This window comes from Homo sapiens, chromosome 16, assembly GCF_000001405.40.
Source record: "Homo sapiens chromosome 16, GRCh38.p14 Primary Assembly".
Classification (NCBI taxonomy): domain Eukaryota; kingdom Metazoa; phylum Chordata; class Mammalia; order Primates; family Hominidae; genus Homo; species Homo sapiens.
Window position 1 is genome coordinate 67,355,855 of NC_000016.10, and position 20,688 is coordinate 67,376,542.

General features: G+C 41.0%; 1 protein-coding gene across 18 annotated transcripts in view; it reads left to right on the top strand.

Annotated features, from left to right (window-relative positions):
• LRRC36 (leucine rich repeat containing 36) overlaps positions 1 to 20,688 on the top strand; it is a 58,390-nt gene that overhangs the window by 29,040 nt on the left and 8,662 nt on the right. For 10 of the 18 annotated variants that reach the window (NM_018296.6, XM_005256025.3, XM_005256027.3 and 7 more), the window contains 5 exons: positions 7,736 to 7,860; positions 9,450 to 9,501; positions 11,163 to 11,603; positions 15,090 to 15,388; positions 19,393 to 19,558. In NM_018296.6, coding sequence (NP_060766.5) covers positions 7,736 to 7,860; positions 9,450 to 9,501; positions 11,163 to 11,603; positions 15,090 to 15,388; positions 19,393 to 19,558 — 1,083 coding nt within the window. Of the gene's footprint in view, positions 1 to 6,407; positions 6,452 to 7,735; positions 7,861 to 9,316; positions 9,368 to 9,449; positions 9,502 to 11,162; positions 11,604 to 15,089; positions 15,389 to 16,675; positions 17,382 to 19,392; positions 19,559 to 20,688 lie in introns of those variants that run through there. The other 8 variants (XM_047434330.1, XM_047434333.1, XM_011523206.4 and 5 more) reach the window with 8 other exon arrangements.

The following is a 20,688-nucleotide window of genomic DNA, read 5'->3' on the forward strand; positions in this document are numbered from 1 at the left end:
AAGCCATCAGACCTTACAGGCTGGAGAGCAATGGGATGGCCTGAAAAGAGGAGCAGCACATTTTGATTGGTGGGGTTGGTGTGAATTACTGTCTGGAAGTGGTAAGGAGGATGGTAGGTCATGAAGAAAGCCATGTGTCGGTGTGGTTTGGGTGGAAGGTTTATGTTGGGTAGAAGGTCAGGTTCTGGAGAACAGTGAATGTCTTACTAAGAACAATTTACGTTTATCCTGTAGGTACTAGTTGAAACAACCTAACTCACTCTTTTTGCCAGTTCTATTTGCCTTTAAATAGAGTCTTGCTGAAAATATACTGATCTAATATCTTATTCTAAAATAACAAGGAAAAATCCACCACAGCCACCCTCAGTGGCTCATTCCTGTGTCTAGCAGATGTGTCAGGGTCTTCTTTATAACTCATTGAAATCCATCCCACTTCAACATGTTGATCCATGTCATCTCTTGGTTTAGCCATGATGGAGTTTTGGCTGAATAAAAATCAGCTTGGAATAGCAGAGACTTCTCAAAATAGTCACTTAAACTAGAAGTTCATTTATCTCTCTTATAGAAATCCAGATGTTGACAGTCTACGGCTGTCATGGGGAGAGTTCTAAGGGAGGAATAATGAATATGGGGGAGAGGCAGTTAGCAATCTCAGTCAGTGGAAATGAGAGCAATTCAGCAAAGAAGTGCATATCTACTGGGCAAATCCTGTGTTGGGGGTAGGCAGACAAGGACATGATTAAAATAGTGTCACGTCTTCACATACTCCCATTTTGGAAAGATTTATTGCAGCTAATTAGGTCACAAGTCAGGCTTCACTGTGAGACAAGAGCTCTACTATGGCAGAGATATAGAGGGATGGAGGAGAGGCGGTTGCAGTTAGTACTCATTGCAGGCCTGGGAAAAGGCTGCACAAAACAACACTTTAGTTGGGCATTAAAATAGAGTTCAGTGGGCATAGTTGAGGGGAAAAGGTATTCAATGTAGAGGGAAAAGCAGCAGCAAAGACAGGTGAAACATATCAGGAAATTGACTCAGCTTGTGGCTAGAGATAAGGCCAAGTTGCAAAGGCCCTCTTTACTAATTATGTTCATTTTATTCTCTTGAAAATAGGTAATAATAAGGATCTCTTAGAGGTGAGGCATGCTTAAACGTGTGATTTGAGAGATAACTCAAGCTAGATTTAGTTAGTGGGAGGTAATGAGGACCTGTCCTCGGAGGCCAATGGTAAAATGCAGATGAGGAAGCACAGATTGATTAAGTCCTGGAGGATACGAAAATAAAGCCTGGATACAAAACATGAAGTATTTTTACCTGCAGTGTTTTGCTATATAGTTCAAACTTCAGAAGAATGGAATTTCTGAATAAAAGACACAACTATTATTTAAAGGGGGAAAAATACAAGGTTACTAAGATTACATGGAGTCTGTTCATGATGGGAAAAAAACCACCTCACCAATTTCCTTTAATAATTATCATATCTGCAATAGTTATTACATATTAATATTTTAAATGTCAGGGATTGTGTTGTTTTTATTGGTAATTAGCAATGGAAAAGAAATGGTTTTGGAGACTAGTGAAAGACAAGTTATTTCTGCTCTTATATTTTTATCTCAGTGGAATCTGGGGTACAATATGTTTATTTGAGATTAACACTGAGAGGAAGGGGAGGAAAGAGGGTTAAGCAGAGAGAGAGCTCTAGAGTAAGAACTTTCCTTCAGAATGTCCCTTACTAGGCTGAAATGCCTGGGTCTTTGTACCCCTGCCTAGCTCTGTCACGGGGAGTGAACTGTCCTTGGAAGAGAATGGCATCAGGAGATGGTTCTTGATAGCTAAGACAGACTCCGAATGAAGAGCAAACGGCTGAAGTGCCCTCCAGCAGCTAGGCAGCAAGTCCTTCCTTGAAGGGGATCTGGCCAGATCTCAGCCTCCCATTGATTGCAGGGTGTTTGTACAAACATGTGAAGTGGAGCCTCATCCAGCTGGGATTACTGGTAGTAGAAGTAGCTATTAGTTACTTGCCCCTGTATCTGTATGATAAAGCCTTTTCTCTGTTATTACAAATAGAAAACAATTTTCAAACAAATTGTCCTGTCGCATTGATTATATGGATGTTCAAACCTGGGCTGGACAACAGGTCATAATTACATTTGCTTTTGGAATTAAGGGCTGGATATATTTTGTATCTGAAGAAAAAGAATAAACTGAAGTATAAGACAAGAAAAAAATAATCTCAGAATACAAATTGCTTCATTTTCTTGATTGTTGTATATGACGTACTTAGTCATAATAGTGGCAGAGCAAGGCATCAGTTTTTTTTTTTTTTCAAGAGTGATCCTGTATCTTGGATATGACACAAAAAACAACCAAAAGACTTCATAAAAATTAAAATTTTTGTGTTTTAAAGGACACTATCAAAGTGGAAAGACAACCCACAGAATAGGAGAAAATGTTTGCAGACTGTATATCTGACAAGGATCTAATTAATATTCATTCTATATTTTTAAAAACCGGAATGTAGTGGCATGCCCAGGCTGCAGTACAGTGGCACAGTCACAGCTCACTGCAACCTCAAACTCCTGGGCTTAAGTGATATTCCTGCCTCCTGAGTAGCAGGGACTACAGGCATGTCGCCACTAATTTTTTTTTTTTTTTTTGCACCCAGCTATTTTATTTTTTGTGGAGATAAGGTCTTGCTATGTTGCCCAGGCTGGTCTTGAACTCTTGGCCTGAAGCGACCCTCACACCTTGGCCTCTTAAAGTGCTGGGATTACAGGCATGAGCTAACGTATTCAACCCATTCTACATAAAGAACTCTTACAACTCAATAACAAAAAGACAAAAACAACCCAATTAAAAAAAATGTGGGCAGAGAATTTGAATAGACATTTCTCCAAAGAAGATATGCAGCTGGCCAAAAGCACATGAAAGATGCTCAACATCACTATTCATCTGGGAAATGCAAAGCAAAACTACAAGGAGATACCACTTCACATCCACTAGGCCAAATAGAATCTAAAGGACAGATAATAAGCAATGGCTGGGAGGGTGGGAGGAAGGGGAGGAGCAGAAAAGATAACTGTTGAATACTGGGCTTAATATCCAGTGATGAAGTAACATGTATAAAAAATAAGATATGTTTTGCAATTTAAAAAGTTGCTATAAAAAAAGCAATGTCAAGGATGTGCAGAAATTGGAGTCCTTATGCATCGCTGGTAGGAAAGTAAAATTGTGCAACTGTTTTGGAAAACAGTCTGGCAGTTCCTCAAAAAGTTAAACATAGAGTTAAATTTGATCCAGCAATTCCACTCCTAGGTATATATACCTAAGAGAAATGGAAACCTATGTTCATACAAAAACTTGTCCAGGAATGAAAGCAGCATTATTCATAATAGCCATTGACTGAAGAATGAATAAACAAAATATGATATATCCATATTCAGGCATTAAAAAGGAATGAAGTACTAACACATGCTATAACATGTATTTTGAAAACATCAGGCTAAGTGAAAGAAGCCAGACAAAAAGGTCATATATTGTATGATTCCATTTATATAAAATTTGCAGAATAGGCCATTGCATAGAGACAGAAAGTATATTGTTGGTTGCCAGAGGATGGAAGGGAGGGAAAAATTGGGAATGACAGCTATGGGGTTTCTTTTGGGGGTGATGAAATATTCTAGAATTAGATAGTGGTGATAGTTGTATAACTTTGTGAATATACTAAAAAACACTGAATTGTACACTATAAAAGGATGAATTGTATGACACATGAATTATATCTCAATTAAAATAAAGCTTCTCCCACAGTCATAGAGTGATTCTGTACAACTTGGTAATTGAGATTTCAGATGAGTCAAATAACAAGTTTGTATCTTAAGTGATTGGGTGATAGTAATGCCAATAACAAGATTGGGGGAGGCACCAGCAGCAGAAGTAGGCCTGGAAGTGAAGATAATGAGTTTGGTTAGAAAATACTGATTTTTGGCTGGGCATGGTGGCTCACTACTGTAATCCCAACAATTTGGGAGGCCAAGGTGGGCGGATCATTTGAGGTCAGGAGTTCGAGACCAGCCTGACAAACACAGTGAAACCCCATCTTCACTAAAAATACAAAAAAATTTGCTGGGCGTGGTGGTGCATACCTGTAGTCCCAGCTACTCAGGAGGCTGAGGCGGGAGAATTGCTTGAAGCCGGGAGGCGGAGGTTGCAGTGAGCCGAGATTGCGCCATTGCACTCCAGAGCCTGAGCAACAGAGCAAGACTCTGTCTCAAAAAAAAAAAAAAGAAAAGAAAATATTGACTTTTTGGTTGTGTGCAGGTACTCATTGGGGGCTGTTCAGGAAATTTAGGTCTGTACATCAGAAGAGAGACCAGACTTAAGAGATTTAGATTTAGAGTCACTCAGATGTAAGTGATAGCTAAAACCCAGGAGAACTATGAGAGCACTCAGCAAGAAGTTCAGGCGGTAGGGGATTTGAACCAAGACATAGGTTGAAAGAAAAGGAACCTGTGAATCTGGAAAAGAGCATATGTGCTGTGGGAGGAAAAACAGGCTGGAGCAGGGTCTTGAACACCTGCGAAGTCTTGTTCCACAGGATAAGAGTAAGAGGAGCCCTGAACCCAAAGTCACAGCCTACTAACCATTCTCATTTGCACAAAAGCTGTGTTACAACTAGCAGTTTCTGCTTCACCTTGTTTCTTCTGTAGTACTACTGCAGTGAGAACAGGACAAAAAGGTTGATAGCTCATGTCACTTGCAGAAAAGTAGTTCTGTCGAGTCCAGTGGTTGGAAGAGCATCTTGTGTTTAAGTAGGACGTTTCAGTCCCAGAAGGCAATTCAGAAATAGAAGGCATCTTAGAGCCTCAGATGGATGGAGGGGCTGGTTCTCAAGAGGCTGGCTTTATTCACTGTCTACTCTCAGTTGCACTGGCTTGTAGTGACTTTCTGTTGCCAGAACCAGTAGATGAAAGTGAGCATAAGAGCACATTGTTTGACAAAGGCCCAAATTCTTGCTACTATCTTCTTACATAATCCTGCTGGAAAAAAATTCCTTAAACAAAAGCAAAACTCTTGTTTTCATTCAAGTCCCCCCAGAAGACCTCAAATCCCAGAATTATACGTTAATAAATGTATTGATCAAGAGTGGAAAAACGTTTGTACAAATATGACAACCTAATAGAATCGTTCTCTCTTTCTTGTCATTCTTGTCTCACTCCTGTTACTCAGGCTGGAGTGCAGTGGCACAATCTTGGTTCATTGCAGTCTCGACTTCCCAAGTTAAGGGTTCCTCCCACCTCAGCCTCCCAAATAGCTGGGACTCATGCCACTAAGCCTGGCTCATTTTTGTATTTTCAATAGAGATGGGGGTCTCACTATGTTGCCCAGGCTGGTGTTGAACTCCTGGGCTCAAGTGATCCACCCACCTGGGCCTCCCAAAGTGTTGGGATTACAGACACGAGCCACTGTGCCTGGCCTTTGATAGAATTGCTGACAGGCTCTTCTTGATAACAGTTTCCAAAGTGGCCAGAACTGGGCTACAGTTTTTGTTATTTTTACTTTTTATTTTTAAAATAATTTTTCTAATCACAGTAAAAATATTGGTAAAAAAATAAAATTATAATACAGGAAAAAAAGTTAAAATTTATCACTTTTTTGTGAATATATGTATTAAACTAACATCAGAATTTGAAAGGTGAACTGCAAAATACTAATGAGATTTTCTCTTTTCTTTTGGAAATGGAGTCTCACTCTGTCACCCAGGCTGGAGTGCAATGGTGCGATCTCAGCTCACAGCAACCTCTGCTTCCCGGGTTCAAGCGATTCTCCTGCCTCAGCCTCTTGAGTAGCTGGGATTACAGGCGCCCACGCCTGGCTGATTTTTTTATTTTTAGTAGAGACGGAGTTTCACCATGTTGGCCACGCTGGTCTCGAACTCCTGACCTCAGGTGATCCACCCACCTTGGCCTCCCAAAGTGCTGAAATTATAGGTATGAGCCACCATGCCTGGCCCTAACAGTATTTTTTAATGAAAATGGAACACTATTTCCTTTACTTTTAAAAAATTATTTTTCTTTAACTATAAAACAAATCTTACCAGGCCTGGTGGCTCACGCGTGTAATCCCAACACTTTAGGAAGCCAAGGCTGGCAGATTGCTTGAGCCCAGGAGTTCTAAACCAGCCTGGGCAACATACGGATACCCTATTTCTATTAAAACTTTTTTTTAATGTAAAAATTAAAAAAAACAAAAACAAAAACAAATCTCACACAAAATAACATACAGAGTGTTCTAATACGTTTTGTTTTGTTTTGTTTTTTCTTCCCGAGAAAGAGTCTTGCTCTGTCGCCCAGACTGGAGTGCTGTGGCGCGATCTCGGCTCACTGCAACCTCTACCTCCTGGGTTCAAGCAGTTCTCCTGCCTCAGCCTAGCGAGCAGCTGGGATTACAGGTGTGCACCATAACGCCCAGCTAATTTTTGTATTTTTAGTAGAGACGGGATTTCACCAGGCTGGCCAGGCTGGTCTCAAACTCCTGACCTCATCATCCGCCCGCCTCAGCCTCCCAAAGTGCTGGGACTACAAATGTGAGTCACCGTGCCTGGCCAGAAGTTTGAATATATATACAGAGCCTAAAGTACTACTAATAAATATATTTAAGCTCATGGTGAATATTTCCAGCCCCATCACTAATTTAATCAATTTACAAGGATTTTATAAATAGCAGGGGATGATACTTCCACATTCTCTGTGTGGTAACCAAAAAACAAGATAAAACAAGAATCTCTCTAATAGCATTAGTTACAATTGAATAAAACAAAATAAACTGTAAAAAATACATTGGGAGACCTAAGGATTTAGCATTCTTCTCCATGAAATAGGTCCTGACTGGTTTCTCTCTCTTTTTTTTGTTTTTGTTGTTGTTGTTGTTGTTGTTTTATTGAGATAGAGTCTCACTGTGTCGCCCAGGCTGGAGTGCAGTGGCACAGTCGTGGCTCACTGCAACCTCCACCTCCCTGGTTCAAGCAATTCTCCTGCCTTAGCCTCCTGAGTAGCTGGGATTATAGGCGCGCGCCACCACTCCCGGCCCGGCTAATTTTTGTATTTTTAGTAGAGACAGAGTTTCACCATGATGGTCAGGCTGGTCTCGAACTCCTAACCTCAAGTGATCTGCCCACCTCAGCCTCCCAAAGTGCTGGGATTACAGGCGTGAGCCACCACGCCCAGCTTAGTTTTCTCTTTTTACAAAAGAGAGAAAGCAAGGCAGAAAAAGGCTAGTTTGAAATGGTCAATCAGTGCTGACTGCTGATTAGTACCCTGGAGATGTATAATGCCAGGAGTCTATTCCCAGCATCTCCCCCTGTAGTTGGAGATTATGGAATTGGTATCACAGTTAATTATTTATTCGCTTAGGAAATGTGCAAAATATTTGCCTTCCACTCAGTTTCTGTTGAGCACTTCATAAATTATGAAGCCATTTCATATCCATTATCCTGTTTTAACCTGGCTCAACCCTAACAGATAGGCAGTTTAGATTTTATCATCTCTGTTTTCCAAACGAAGTGAGAGAAGTAGAGAGGTTAAGTGATTTGCTCAAATTCATGTGGTCTCCAAGTGGTGGCACCAGAACTAGCACTCAATCTTGTGACTTTCCTTTTAGTATCTATCCATTAGACATGCTGCCTTTGAAGTCTGGTCAGTGAGTGCTTTATTGTTTGCTTTTTCTTTTAACACAGACTCAAACAAAGGACTTTTTATTCCCTTCCCCAACCGGGAAATAAAGGATTCCCTAAGTACTTCTGCAACTCAGGGCAATGGTACACGTGATCAGAAATTAGACACCTTCCCACTGGGGACACAGGTAATGTATTCACTCTCCTGCTGATCTGTTGACTAGTCAATGATTAATACTGATAATTCAGTGGGCTCTCAATTATTTATGAAGGTCTCAGAGGACTTGTTTGATGAAGGCATTTTAGACCCTTTTAAAGGAAAGGGCAGGACAGAATGCAGAGTACCTTCTCCATTAATTTCAATCTCCCATTTCCCTCTCTCTCACACTAACCTGTTATCTAATGTCATATATTTATACATATAACTTTAGCATATCTATGAAAGGCATTTTGGTCCTCAAACAAGAATGCAACTGTTACAGTTTTTGGCTGGTTTTAAATTTTCTCCCCTCTATCCAATATCTCCATCTCCTGTTGCCTTGCTTCTTACATTTTCTACCTACACCCTTTAATACTGAGTCTTACATTTTAGGTATGACTTTCCCAAAGCTGCCTCTGCAGTATAACAGAAAAAGTAAAGTTTAAGGGGTAAAGATGGCATGGAAGTTGTGGGCAATGGGAAGATAGAGATCATGCAAGATGGGGGAGGAGTGAAAAATAAGGTTTTAGTGAAAAAATTGGTGACAGAAGGGATGCAACCATTATGTAAGACTTGTTTGTGTGAGTGAATATGATACAAGGAGCAGAACTGACTACTTTATATTCACCTTCTCCCTTTCTGTGCCTTTTCTTTGATACATTTATGAGCAATAAAATTGTAGAAAATAGCCAGGAGGAGAAAGAAAAGCAGCAAAGGCTCTGATTAATCCATAATTTGGACAATCAAGACTGAATTAGTAAAAAGTTAGTACTATTCTTTTCAGTTTGGGTATAGACTACCTTCATCTTTTAAAAAGATAAGCATTTAATCAGTTTCTTTGTTTTTGGAGATTATACTTGGGTGACTTAGAAACAATCTCAGTTACCATTTTTTAAAACCATATTGACTTAAGGAAATGGAGACAAAGAGTATTGCAATCTCCAGTTAAATAGCACTTCTTAGATAAAAAAGCAAACAAAAAAACTTCTCTGAAATTACTTCTTGAAGTGAGAAAAAAGGAAATTGAATAGTTTGCTGTATCTTTTTAGTTTAAGAAATAAGGAAGTGGGATTTCTTTCTCTCCATGACTACCAAAAAGACACTGAATACTTTAAGATAATTTTTTTAAAAGCAAACCCTAGATGGCTTTCTGTTTTCCTTCAGTCCTTGCCTAGTTATGCCTCAGATTAATTTTCAGCCTATTAAAACCCCCTTAGCTATGGTGGTTGATAGCTTTATCAGCTGGTAAAATAAGCATGAGAGTCCTTTAAACAGAAAAAGCAAAGCTGGAAAGTGGCCCTCATCTACCTTCTATGAGCTATCTAAGGCAGAGAAAGTACAGTCATTGTTTGCTATGTCCTTTACTTCCTAAGGATATTCAAGCAACTCTGGAATCTCCTTGTATTGTGACTGTTTTAAAATAGACTTAAACTGGACCTTTGCTTAAAGGTCTGTTTCCCTAGCTTGCAAGGATAGTCTTTCCCATTAATAGGAAGGTATTCTGAACCCCTAGTCTAATAAGCTCACATTTGAACGCGCATGGACTTCCTTCTACCTAAACTTTCGAACTTTTTTTAGACACAGGAAGTAGCAAGAAGGGAGATGCCAAGTGACAATCACCAGGAAGATGGTAAATATTTTGCTCACTGAGTATTTTTCCCCCACACTAATCAGAGAAGTCTGGATGTGATGGGATTTGGGAGATGAAGATGTCTCAATATGGGGGCCCTATTTAGTCAACTAATTTCTGCTTTTGTGAGGGACTGTCCTGGATGATTAGTAACCTGTGAGACTTTTCTGCTTAAAGAGTGCATATTCTGACCTCCTTTGTTCTTGATTTTTTTTGCGTTGGATGACTATTCTTTTTGTTACCTTTCTTGCCTTCTTTTGTATTTATTATTTTTTATTCATCCATTTGTTTCTCTCTACTGGTTTATAAGTTATATACATTTTCTATACTTTTAGTATTATTCCCCAAATGATAATATGTATCCTTAACTTACATAATTTTTAAATTGTTAATACCTTAAGTCTTCTTTTGGATAATTCAAAAACCGTACAGTACTTTATTTCATTTACTCTTTCCTGACTTATATGTTGTTATTATGAATTTTAATTCTCTATATTTTTAAAGACTTCACAAGATATTATTTTTTATATAGTCAGTGTAGATTTAAATCTATCCATTAATTTACTACTGTTTGTTCACTTCCTTTTTCTTCCCAGGCTTCCCTTCTGATATCATTTTCCTTTGCCTTACAGTGGCACATACTTTAATGTAGGTCTATTAGTGATGAGCTCTTTCAGCTTTTCTTTGTGTGATAATGCCTCTATTTCACTATCATTCTTGAAGGGTATTTTAGATGGGTGTAGATTTCTAGGCAGTTCGTTCTCTCTCTCTCTTCCCACTTCCTTCTCTCTTTTTTTTTAATTTTTTTTATTTTTGAGACAAGTTCTCAATCTGTTGCCCAGGCTGGAGTACAGTACAGTGGCACAATCAGAGCTCATAATAACCTCAAACTTCTGGGCTCAAGCAATCCTCCCACCTCAGCCTCCCAAGTAGTTAGGACTACCACCACACCTGGCTAATTAAAAAAATTTTTTTCGGACCAGGCACAGTGGCTCATGCCTGTAATCCCAGCATTTTGGGAGTCCGAGGCAGGTGGATCACCTGAGGTCAGGAGTTTGAGACCAGCATGGCCAACATGGTGAAACTCCATCTCTACAAAAAATACAAAAATTAGCCGGGCATGGTGGTGCTTGCCTATAATCTCAGCACTTTGGGAGGCCGAGGCGGGTGGATCACTTGAGGTCAGGAGTTGGAGACCAGCCTGGCCAACACGGTGAAACCCCATCTCTACTAAAAATACAAAAGCTAGCTGGGCATGGTGGCATGTGCCTGTAATCCCAGTTATTCGGGAGGCTGAGGTACGAGAATCGCTTCCCTCTGGGAAGCGAAGGTTGCACTGAGCTGAGATTGCGCCACTGCACTCCAGCCTGGGCGACAGAGTGAGACCCTGTCTCAAAAAAAAAAAAGAAACAGAATTTGTCTCCAGAATGTTATAGATTCTTTACTGTTTACACAAAAGTCCCACATTTTATTGGTGGTGGTGGTGTTCCATGTGGAAGTCCTTTCATCACTTTATGCTACCATTGATCAGAATTATAAACCACCTCTTCCTGAGAGGTGTTTCTGGCAGACAGAGAATATGTTCAGTGAACAGAGGTACTCCCAGCTAGGCCACAAAGAATTCTTATCATGTTTTGTTTTTTTGCCTTGGTGGTGTTTAGAGTTCAGACACTACTCGCCTCGTCAGTCCACAGTCCGATCCCCAGAGAAGATGACTAGAGAAGGGTACCAAGTATCTTTTTTGGACAATAAGTCTTCAGGTTCTTCTCCAGAAAAGGAATTGATACCAAAACCTGATACTTTTCATCTTACCCATGATGCCTCATTGAGTAAATGCCTGGATGTGGGTGATTCTAGCCAGATCCATCCCTATCAGTTACCTTCAGATGTTGGTCTGGAAAATTATGACAGTTGTTATTCTCAAACTCTATCCCTGCATGGAAGTCTTGGTAAAAGGCCTCAGAGAAGCAAGAACTATCAAGAGTATAGCATAAAGCCTTCAAATGACATAAAGACCACCGCTTCACATTCCTGTGGAGACTTATTAACTTCTCTGTCAAACCCTGACTCCAGCACTGGAAGGCTTTTGAAGCTTAGTTCAGGTAACAGCTTCCTGTCAGTTTACAGGTCTTCTTCATAGGCATGAAGATAGAAGATATAAGTGAAAATTTTGGAATTAACCCTTCTGAAATTGTATTAGCATTTCTTAAGTTGTATTTTAGGGTCACCAGTGGTTCTTGGAACCTCGAGAAATCTGTAGGGTATGAGTTTAACATGATATATATATTAGGGAAAATTTGTAGGAAAGTGAGCATTGCAGCTACTTGCTATTTTAGTTAAGCAGCATCCCAGGACATCTAGTCTTTACTCACAGTCACTTCTATTCTGACTTACTTTCAGAAGAAGTTAGTTTCAGGCTGGGCACGGTGGCTCATGCCTGTAATCCCAGCACTTTGGGAGGCTGAGCCGGGTGGATCACGAGGTCAGGAGTTCGACACCAGCCTGGCCAACATGGTGAAACCCCGTCTCTACCAAAAATACACACACACAAAATAGCTGAGCATGGTGGCATGCGCCTGTAATCCCAGCTACTCAGGAGGCTGAGAGGCAGGAGAATTGCTTGAACCTGGGAGGCAGAGGTTGCAGTAAGCCAAGATCGGGCCACTGCACTCCATGGGCAACAGAGCAAGACTCCATCTTGAAAACAAAAACAGAAGTTAGTTTCAGAGTTAGTGACAGAGATCACTCTTCTGTTACTTATTTATTCAACCAAACTCATTGAACACCTACAGTGTCCCAGACACTGTTCTAGCTCTGGAGATAAAGTAGCAACCAAAATAAAGTTCCATGTATATTTTACCATAATAAGAAGACAGTCCCTACTTTCATAGAGCTTACATTCTCATGGGGTAAGACACATGATAAACATTTTAGCATGCAAATATATGTCAGGTTATGGTAAATGCTGTGAAAAAATTATATAAGGGCATAGAGCGTGATAAGGAGGAGGCGATGCTTTAGATAGAATGGTCCAGAAAGCTTCTCTGATGAGGCACCATAAAAGTAGAGACTTGAATGAAGTGGGAGTATAAGCCATGTGGGTCTGGGAGGAGAACTTTCTAGACAGTGGGAATAAATGCAAAAGTCCTGAGGCTGGAACATACTTTTCATGTACAAGGAACCTCAGGGAGGCCAGTGCGGCCTCAGCAAAGAAAGTAGAGTGTATAGATGAAGTAAGAAAGATGCCAGACTTTTTTCTGGGTGAGATCAGAAGGAGTTGGAGAGTTTGTAGCAAGGGAGTGATGTGATCTCACTTAAGAATTACTGTGAATGTTGGGCTGAGAATAGACTATGGGGAGGAGGGTAGAAATTTTTTTAAAATGCTTTGGAGAGATTGGAATCAGCGTAACAGATGATGATGGCTTGGGCTAGACAGATAGCGGTGGAGGTGGTGAGAAGTAGTCAGATTCTGAATATGTTCTGAAGATGACACTCCATGGTTTGCTGATGGATCCAGGATAAAGTGTGGGAGAAAGAGGGTCAATGGTAATTCTGTGGTTTTGAGTCTGAATAACTAGAAGAACAGAGCTTTCATTTACTAAGATGGAAAAGAATGGGAGGTAGAGATTTTAAGATAAATATCAAGAGTTGGGTTTTGGACATCTTAAGTTTCAGGTGCCTTATTAAAACTTTCCAGAGATGCCAATTTGGTAATTGGACATACTAGTCCAGAGTTTAGGGAAGAAGGTATGGCTGGAAATATAAATTTGGAGATTATAAGTGTATGGGTGACAGTAAAACTCTGAGACTGGATGAAATCTCACCAAAAGAGTGAATATAGATAGAAAAGAGATCTGAGGACTGGTCCTGAGCCCTCCAACAATTAGAAGTAGATAAAGAGAAACCATCATGGAGAGTGAGAAAGCAGCAGCCAGTAAGATAGAGGGGAAAAAGCCAAGAGGAAGTAATATCCTGGAAGCCAAGTGAAGAATGTGTTTCAAGAAGGAGGGAGTGATCAATGCTAGGTCAAATGCTTCTCCTGATAGGGAGGGAGGGAGCCTGGGACTGAGAAGTGATTATGGTATTTGGCAATGAAGAAGACATTAATGAACAGCTTCAGGGGATGCATGAGAATGAAAGCCTCACTGAGGTGAATTCAAGAAAAAAATTGGAAGCAAGGCAGTAAAGTTACTGAATATAGACAACCCTTGTATTAGTCTGTTCTCACACTGCTAATAAAGACATACCCAAGACAGGGTAATTTATAAAGGAAAGAGGTTTAATTGACTCACAGTTCCACATGGCTGGGGAGGCCTCACAATCATGGTGGAAGGTGAATGAGGAGCAAAGTCACGTCTTACATGGTGGCAGGCAAGAGAGCTTGTGTAGGGGAACTCCCCTTTATAAAACCATCAGATCTCGTGAGACTTACTATCACCAAGAACAGCATGGGAAAGACCCGCCCCCATAATTCAGTTACTTCCCACCAGGTCCCTCCCATGTCATGTGGGAATTATGGGAGCTACAATTCAAGATGAGATTTGGGTGGGGACACAGCCAACCCATATCAACCCCTTCAAGGAGTTTTGCAGTAAAGGGAAGCAGAGAAATGGAACTAGCTGGAGAAGGGATGGGGTCAAGGAGATCCTGGTAGAAGTGATCTAGTAGAGGGAAAACTGATGATGCCAGGGAGAAAAGGGACCGTTACAAGAAAATGGAATCCAGTCCACCAGTGGAGAGGCTGGTTTTAAATAAAAGCACAGATAGTTCATCTATTGTAATAAGAAGGAAGGCAGAGAATTTATTAATACAGATACAGGAGAGTTGGTAGATTTGATGGTGTGATCATGTAGATGTTTTCTTTGATTGCCTCTCAGGGAAATAAAGGAGGTTGGCACCTGGGTGTAAGGAGGGAAGAGAAGGTGTTGGAAGTTTGAAGAGAGATGTGAAATATTTGTCTCAGAGAATAGAAGAGTAAATTGGCCAGAGTATTATATTAGGAGATGCCGGGCACAGTGGCTCACACCTGTAATCCCAGCACTTTGGGAGGCCAAGGCCAGCAGATCACTTGTGGCCAGGAGTTCAAGACCAGCATGGCCAATATGGTGAAACCCCATCTCTACTAAAAATACAAAAATTAGCTGGGCATGGTGGGTAGACCCAGCTACTCGGGAGGCTGGGGCAGGAGAATATCTTGAACTCAGGAGGCAGAGGTTGCAGTGAGCCGAGATTGTGCCACTGCACTCCACCCTGGGCAATCGAGCGAGACTCTCTCAAAAAAAAAAAAAAAAAAAAAATCAGAAGAACTGGGCACCACTAAGGGCGCAGTTACAATAGTGGTCATGAGTTTAAAGTGAGAAAGGTCAGAACAGATGCGTTTTTTTCTCCAGCTATGTTCCCCTGCTCTGGTGTAGGCTTGGAACATGTGGACGGTTAGATTTAACCAGAGTTGGAGTTTTGTCAGAGAGTTGAGGATGTATGCTAGGGAGTGGTTATTATGACCCTTGGACTACAGGCAAGGTATGGATAGAAGTGAGACATGAGGCAGTCAGAGGGCAGGTTCATCTGTTAGCCTGTTTCCTCCACAGATCTGTATGCCACAACCCATTTCAACAGTGACCCTGCTGTACTTGTCAATGTAGAGCAACAATTATCTACCAGCCTGGATGATTTAACACCAGCACATGGTTCTGTCCCAAACAACGCTGTCCTGGGAAACAGGACAACTCCTCTGCGGACACTGCTGTTGTCTCCTGGGACTTCAGAACACAGAAAGATTTTTACCAAGAGGTCACTAAGCCCATCGAAGAGAGGATTCAAATGGAAGGACAATATCCTTGCCAACCTGAATCTAAAGCATGGTTTCCAAGATGCTACAGGCAGCGAGGCAAGTGTTGGCTTGTTTGTGTTTGTGCGAGAAACAGGTCAGGTTCGAGACCAGAATGAGGGTTCTGTTGGGAATGGAGGTGGTTCTGACCAACAGGGCTAGAAATTCAAAGAGATTTTCAGAGGCTGGTGGCTAATACTGCCAAGCTAACACCTGTTGAGCCTTCTGCCCTTGGGAAAGTCATTCCCCCACTGCTGCCATTTTCTCACCTATATCACAGGGAGAACTGTCCCTGATCTACTTCCGGCTGAAGATTGAACTCTGTAGCATCTATGTTTACAGTCTCATCATATTTACACATTTGCTTCGGCCACACATGAAATAGTTCTTATAAAAGCATTGCTTCAGGCTGGGCACAGTGGCGCATGCCTGTAATCCCAGCACTTTGGGAGGCTGAGTGGGTGGATCACCTCAGGTCAGGAGTTCAAGACCAGCCAGGCCAACATGGCGAAACCCCATCTCTACTGAAAATACAAAAATTAGCTGGGTGTGGTGGCGCACGCCTGTAGTGCCAGCTACTCTACTCGGGAGGCTGAGGCAGGAGACTCACTTGAACCCAGGAGGTGGAGGTTGCAGTGAGCCGAGATCACGCCACTGCACTCCAGCCTGGGTGACAGAGTGACTCAGTTTCGTAAAAAATAATAGTAATAAAAGCATTGCTTTGCTTTTCTGTCTAGAAGTTAAAAGGATTTAAAATTTTTTTCCAATGTAGAAGCAAACAGAAGATGAATTAGATTATCCAAGGGATTTTTAGTTCAGAGAATGATTTAAAAATCAAGAACCATTCCCACATAAACAATATACATGTAATTCATTTTATAAAATATCCTAGTGGCCAGGCACGGTGGCTTACATCTGTAATTCCACCACTTTGGGAGGCCGAGGTGGGCGGATCACCTGAGGTCGGGAGTTGGAGACCAGCCTGAGCAACGTGGAGAAATCCCATCTCTACTAAAAATAGAAAATTAGCCGGGCTTGGTGGTACCTGCCTGTAATCCCAGCTACTTGGGAGGCTGAGGCAGGAGAATCACTTGAACCTGGGAGGCGGAGGTTGTGGTGAGCCGAGATCGCGCCATTGCACTCCAGCCTAGGCAACAGAGTGAGACTCTGTCTCCAAAAAAAAAAAAATAAAATAAAATAAAATATCCTAGTATGATAGTGTCATACAATAAAACTTTTATCATTATCACTTCTTAACAAGTTTTGCTCCTGCCTTTGCATACATCCCTTGTGGAGAATGCCTTCTACTCTCCTCTCTTGTCTTTTTGAATGTTCATTTTTCTCCAGGTTCTACTTCCATCATGAGGAAGATCCATCCATGTGGTTAGAGGAACCCCAGCTCTTAGAGTCTTCTCTTCCCTTGTACCCAAGAACCTTTGCCATAGGAACCATTTGTCAATTAATAATTTACTGCCCTGTAAGGAAGCAGGAGATTTGGTCAAAAACAGCCATTTCTAGTTACTTATTTTTCAGTTGTTGGAAATCTTACACATTGGGGTGGGTTTACAGGGTTTTTGTTTGTTTGTTTGGAGTGTTTTTTTGTTTTTGTTTTCTACTGTTAAAGACTTCCTATTCAGTTTTCAGAACTTTGGAAGTGGCTGTAATTTTTGTGCACCAAAGGGGGCAGTCTTGTAATGTTTTATTTAGTTTTTTGGCCTCTTTTCATTCTCAGTCCCCTATGCCTATTTTACCAGACAAGAACACTAACTGTGTGTTACTGTATTCAGAGTGAAGATCCAGCAACATTTAGCATATTTGGGATGTTATATTAATCAGACATGCTCTAGGAAATTTTTTAACCTCTATTTCATGTTATATTGTTAAAATCTGGCTAGATGCTGTGGCTCACACCTGTAATCCCAACACTCTGGGAGGCCAAGGTGGAGGATTACTTGAAGCCAGGAGTTTAAGATCATCCTGGGCAACATAGGAGACCCTCTCTCTACAAAAAAAAATAAATAAACAAACAAATAAATAAATGTTAAAATTTCAATATGCTTTTCTAGACGATCTTAAAAGCTCCTTTTTTTCTGTTAGACATTATTTTTCTCTTTATGGAAAGCTTTAAAAGAGCTGCTTGAATATAAATAAAAAAGAAATATACTTTTTAATTTCTGAAAGGTGTAAGTCAGAAAATTTCCAAGAAGAGCATTTTTTACATTTTTTTTTTAAAGCCGGGCATGGACCGGGCACAGTGGCTCACACCTGTAATCCCAGCACTTTGGGAGGCGAGGCAGGCAGATCACCTGAAGTCAGGAGTTTGAGCCCATCCTGGCCAACACGGTGAAACCCCATCTCTACTAAAAATACAAAAAATTAGCTGGGTGTGGTGATGCACGCCTGTAGTCCCAGCTACTTAGGAAGCTGAGGTAGGAGAATCACTTGAACCTAGGAGGCAGAGGTTGCAACAAGCCAAGATTGGGCCACTGCACTCCAGCCTGGGTGACAGAGCAAGACTCTGTCTCAAAAAAAAAAAAAAAAAAAAAAAAGCCAGGCACGGTGGCTCATGCCTGTAATCCCAGCACTTTGCGAGGCCAAGGCAGGCAGATCACTTAGGCCAGGAGTTTTTGACCAGCCTGGCCAACTTGGCAAAACACTGTCTCCACTAAAAATACAAAAATTAGCTGGGCATGGTGGTGCACACCTATTATCCCAGCTACTTGGGTTGACTGAGTCATGAGAATTGCTTGAACCTGGGAGGCAGAGGTTGCAGTGAACTGAGATCATGCGACTACAGTCCAGCCTGGGCAATAGAGCAAGACTCTATCTCAAAAAATAAATAAACACATAAATAAAATATAGAATTAGCCAGGCACGGTGGTGCACACCTGTAGTTCCAGCTATTCGAGAAGCTGGGATAGGAGGATTGCTTGAACCCAGGAGTTCAAGACTACAGTGTGCCAAGATCACACCATTGCACTCCAGCCTGGGTACAAAGCTAGACCCTGTCTTACATAAAATATTATAGAATATTTATGTTTATTATATATTAATATATTAAATATAACCTTAGAGTAATTTTTTATATTACTCCCATTTGTTTTATAAAATATACTATTTTTAAAATGTTCTGCAATTTAATATTTCTATTATATAACATATTGAACCATAGATGTAGGTGTCAAACAACAAATTTTTAATTTTCTTCTGAAAATTTCTATTATTATTTTGTGACATAGTCTTGCCCTGTTGCCCAGGCTTGAGAGCAGTGGCACGATCTCGGCTCACTGCAACCTCTGCCTCCCGAGTTTAAGCAATTCTCCTGCCTCATCCTCCTGAGTAGCTGGGATTACAGGCTGCCCACCATCATGCCTGGCTAATTTTTGTGTTTTTAGTACAGGTAGGATTTCACCATATTGGCCAGGCTGGTCTCGAGCTCCTGAGATCAAATGATCTGCCTGCCTCGGCCTCCCAAAGTGCTGGGATTACAGGCATGAGCCACCGGGCCTGGCCTGAAAATTTCTATTAAAAATTATGATACAAGATACTGTTACCTTTGATATTATCCTGGAATATCTTATGTTTTTGTCTTAGACATAAATAATATTATGCTACTCAAATCCAAACTGAAAGATGAAATCATCTTTTTCACTTTTTAAAAAGTCTAGGCCAGGCACAGTGGCTCACACCTGTAATCCCAACACTTTGGGAAGCTGAGGCGGGACGATCACAAGGTCAGGAGTTGGAGACCAGCCTGGCCAATATGGTGAAACCCCATCTCTACTAAAAATACAAAACTTAGCCGGGTGTGGTGGCACACGCCTATCCCAGCTACTTGGGAGGCTGAGGCACAAGAATCGCTTGAACCTGGGAGGCAGAGATTGCAGTGAGCCCAGATCGCACCACTGCACTCCAGCCTGGGTGACAGAGCGAGACTCCGTCTCCAAAAAAAAATTAAAAAAAAAAAAGTCTCAATGTCTAAATTCTTACTTCCTTTATTGTGTAAGAATGACAAATGGTTGGGTTTTTTGTTTGTTTGTTTTTGCTTTTTTTTTTCTCTTGAGCCTCTCTCTAGTGACCTGGGTAGTTTGCACGGTTTGGCTGGAAACCACAGTCCCCCCATCTCTGCCAGAACCCCCCATGTGGCCACTGTCCTCAGACAGCTCCTGGAGCTTGTGGATAAGCACTGGAATGGCTCCGGCTCCCTCCTCCTCAACAAGAAGTTTCTCGGTGAGTGAATGCATTCTCTGTCCTTGGACAGGAGTTGGACTTTTCCTCTGCTCTGTGTTCTGCTAAAAGCCACTTAGCTCTCTTCACTTGCAAGGAAAGTTGTTCTCATGATCACATCCTGAAACATCTCAGAAACATCATAGTTAACAAATCTACATTTTTCTCATATTCTACATTATTTTTTAAAAGCAGCACCTCTTCTAATTATTTTATAATGATTGTTTTGTTCCTCCTGTAAATATTTGCTAGTCTTTGGTAATATATAGAGTAACCAGATATGTAAATTAGTGACTATATTAATTTTTTTAAAGATTTTGTGATCCTTGGGAAAGTGCCAATAATGAATACAACAGAAATTGGGTTTGATCATCAGAGTTTTGAGATGACTGTTAGAATGTTATGATTTGAAAATCTCGAATGAGTAAATGACCTGGACTCCCTTTAGGGGTTCGTTCTTTAGAAACATGGGAGAAAACAGTTTTGCAAATGTTGGCTTCATGCATTTATTTGTTGTTATTTTCTTTTTGATCCTTAACATGTTTGTTGGCTATTTAATAGAAGAATAATTAAGGAAATTTCGTTGGTGGTAAAATTTTAAATATAAACTAGAAACTTGGCTGGATGCGGTGACTAACGCCTGTAATCCCAGCACTTTGGGAGGCCGAGGTGGGTGGATCATGAGGTCAGGAGTTCGACACCAGCCTGGCCAACATGGTGAAACCCTGTCCCTACTAAAAATACACAAATTAGCCAGGCGTAGTGGTGTGCGCCTGTAATCCCAGCTACTGGGGAGGCTGAGGCGGGAGAGCTGCTTGAACCCAGGAGGTGGAGTTTGCAGTGATCCGAGATCACACCATGGCACTCCAGCCTGGGCAACAGAGCAAGACTCCGTCTCGGAAAACAAACAAACAAATGAAAAAAACAAAAAAACTAGAAACTTAAACGTTGTTTGGGGTTAAAAAAACTTTTTAAAAAATATCTAAAGGGACATACAGAAGAAGAAATCCTAACACAGTTATTTTCCTTCTCATGTTGACCTATTGCTCCCATTTTGTAGGAAATTATCCCCAGGGCCACTAATCAATGACTAAGGAATTATGCACTCACAAGGGGCTGCTGTTGTTTCTCCA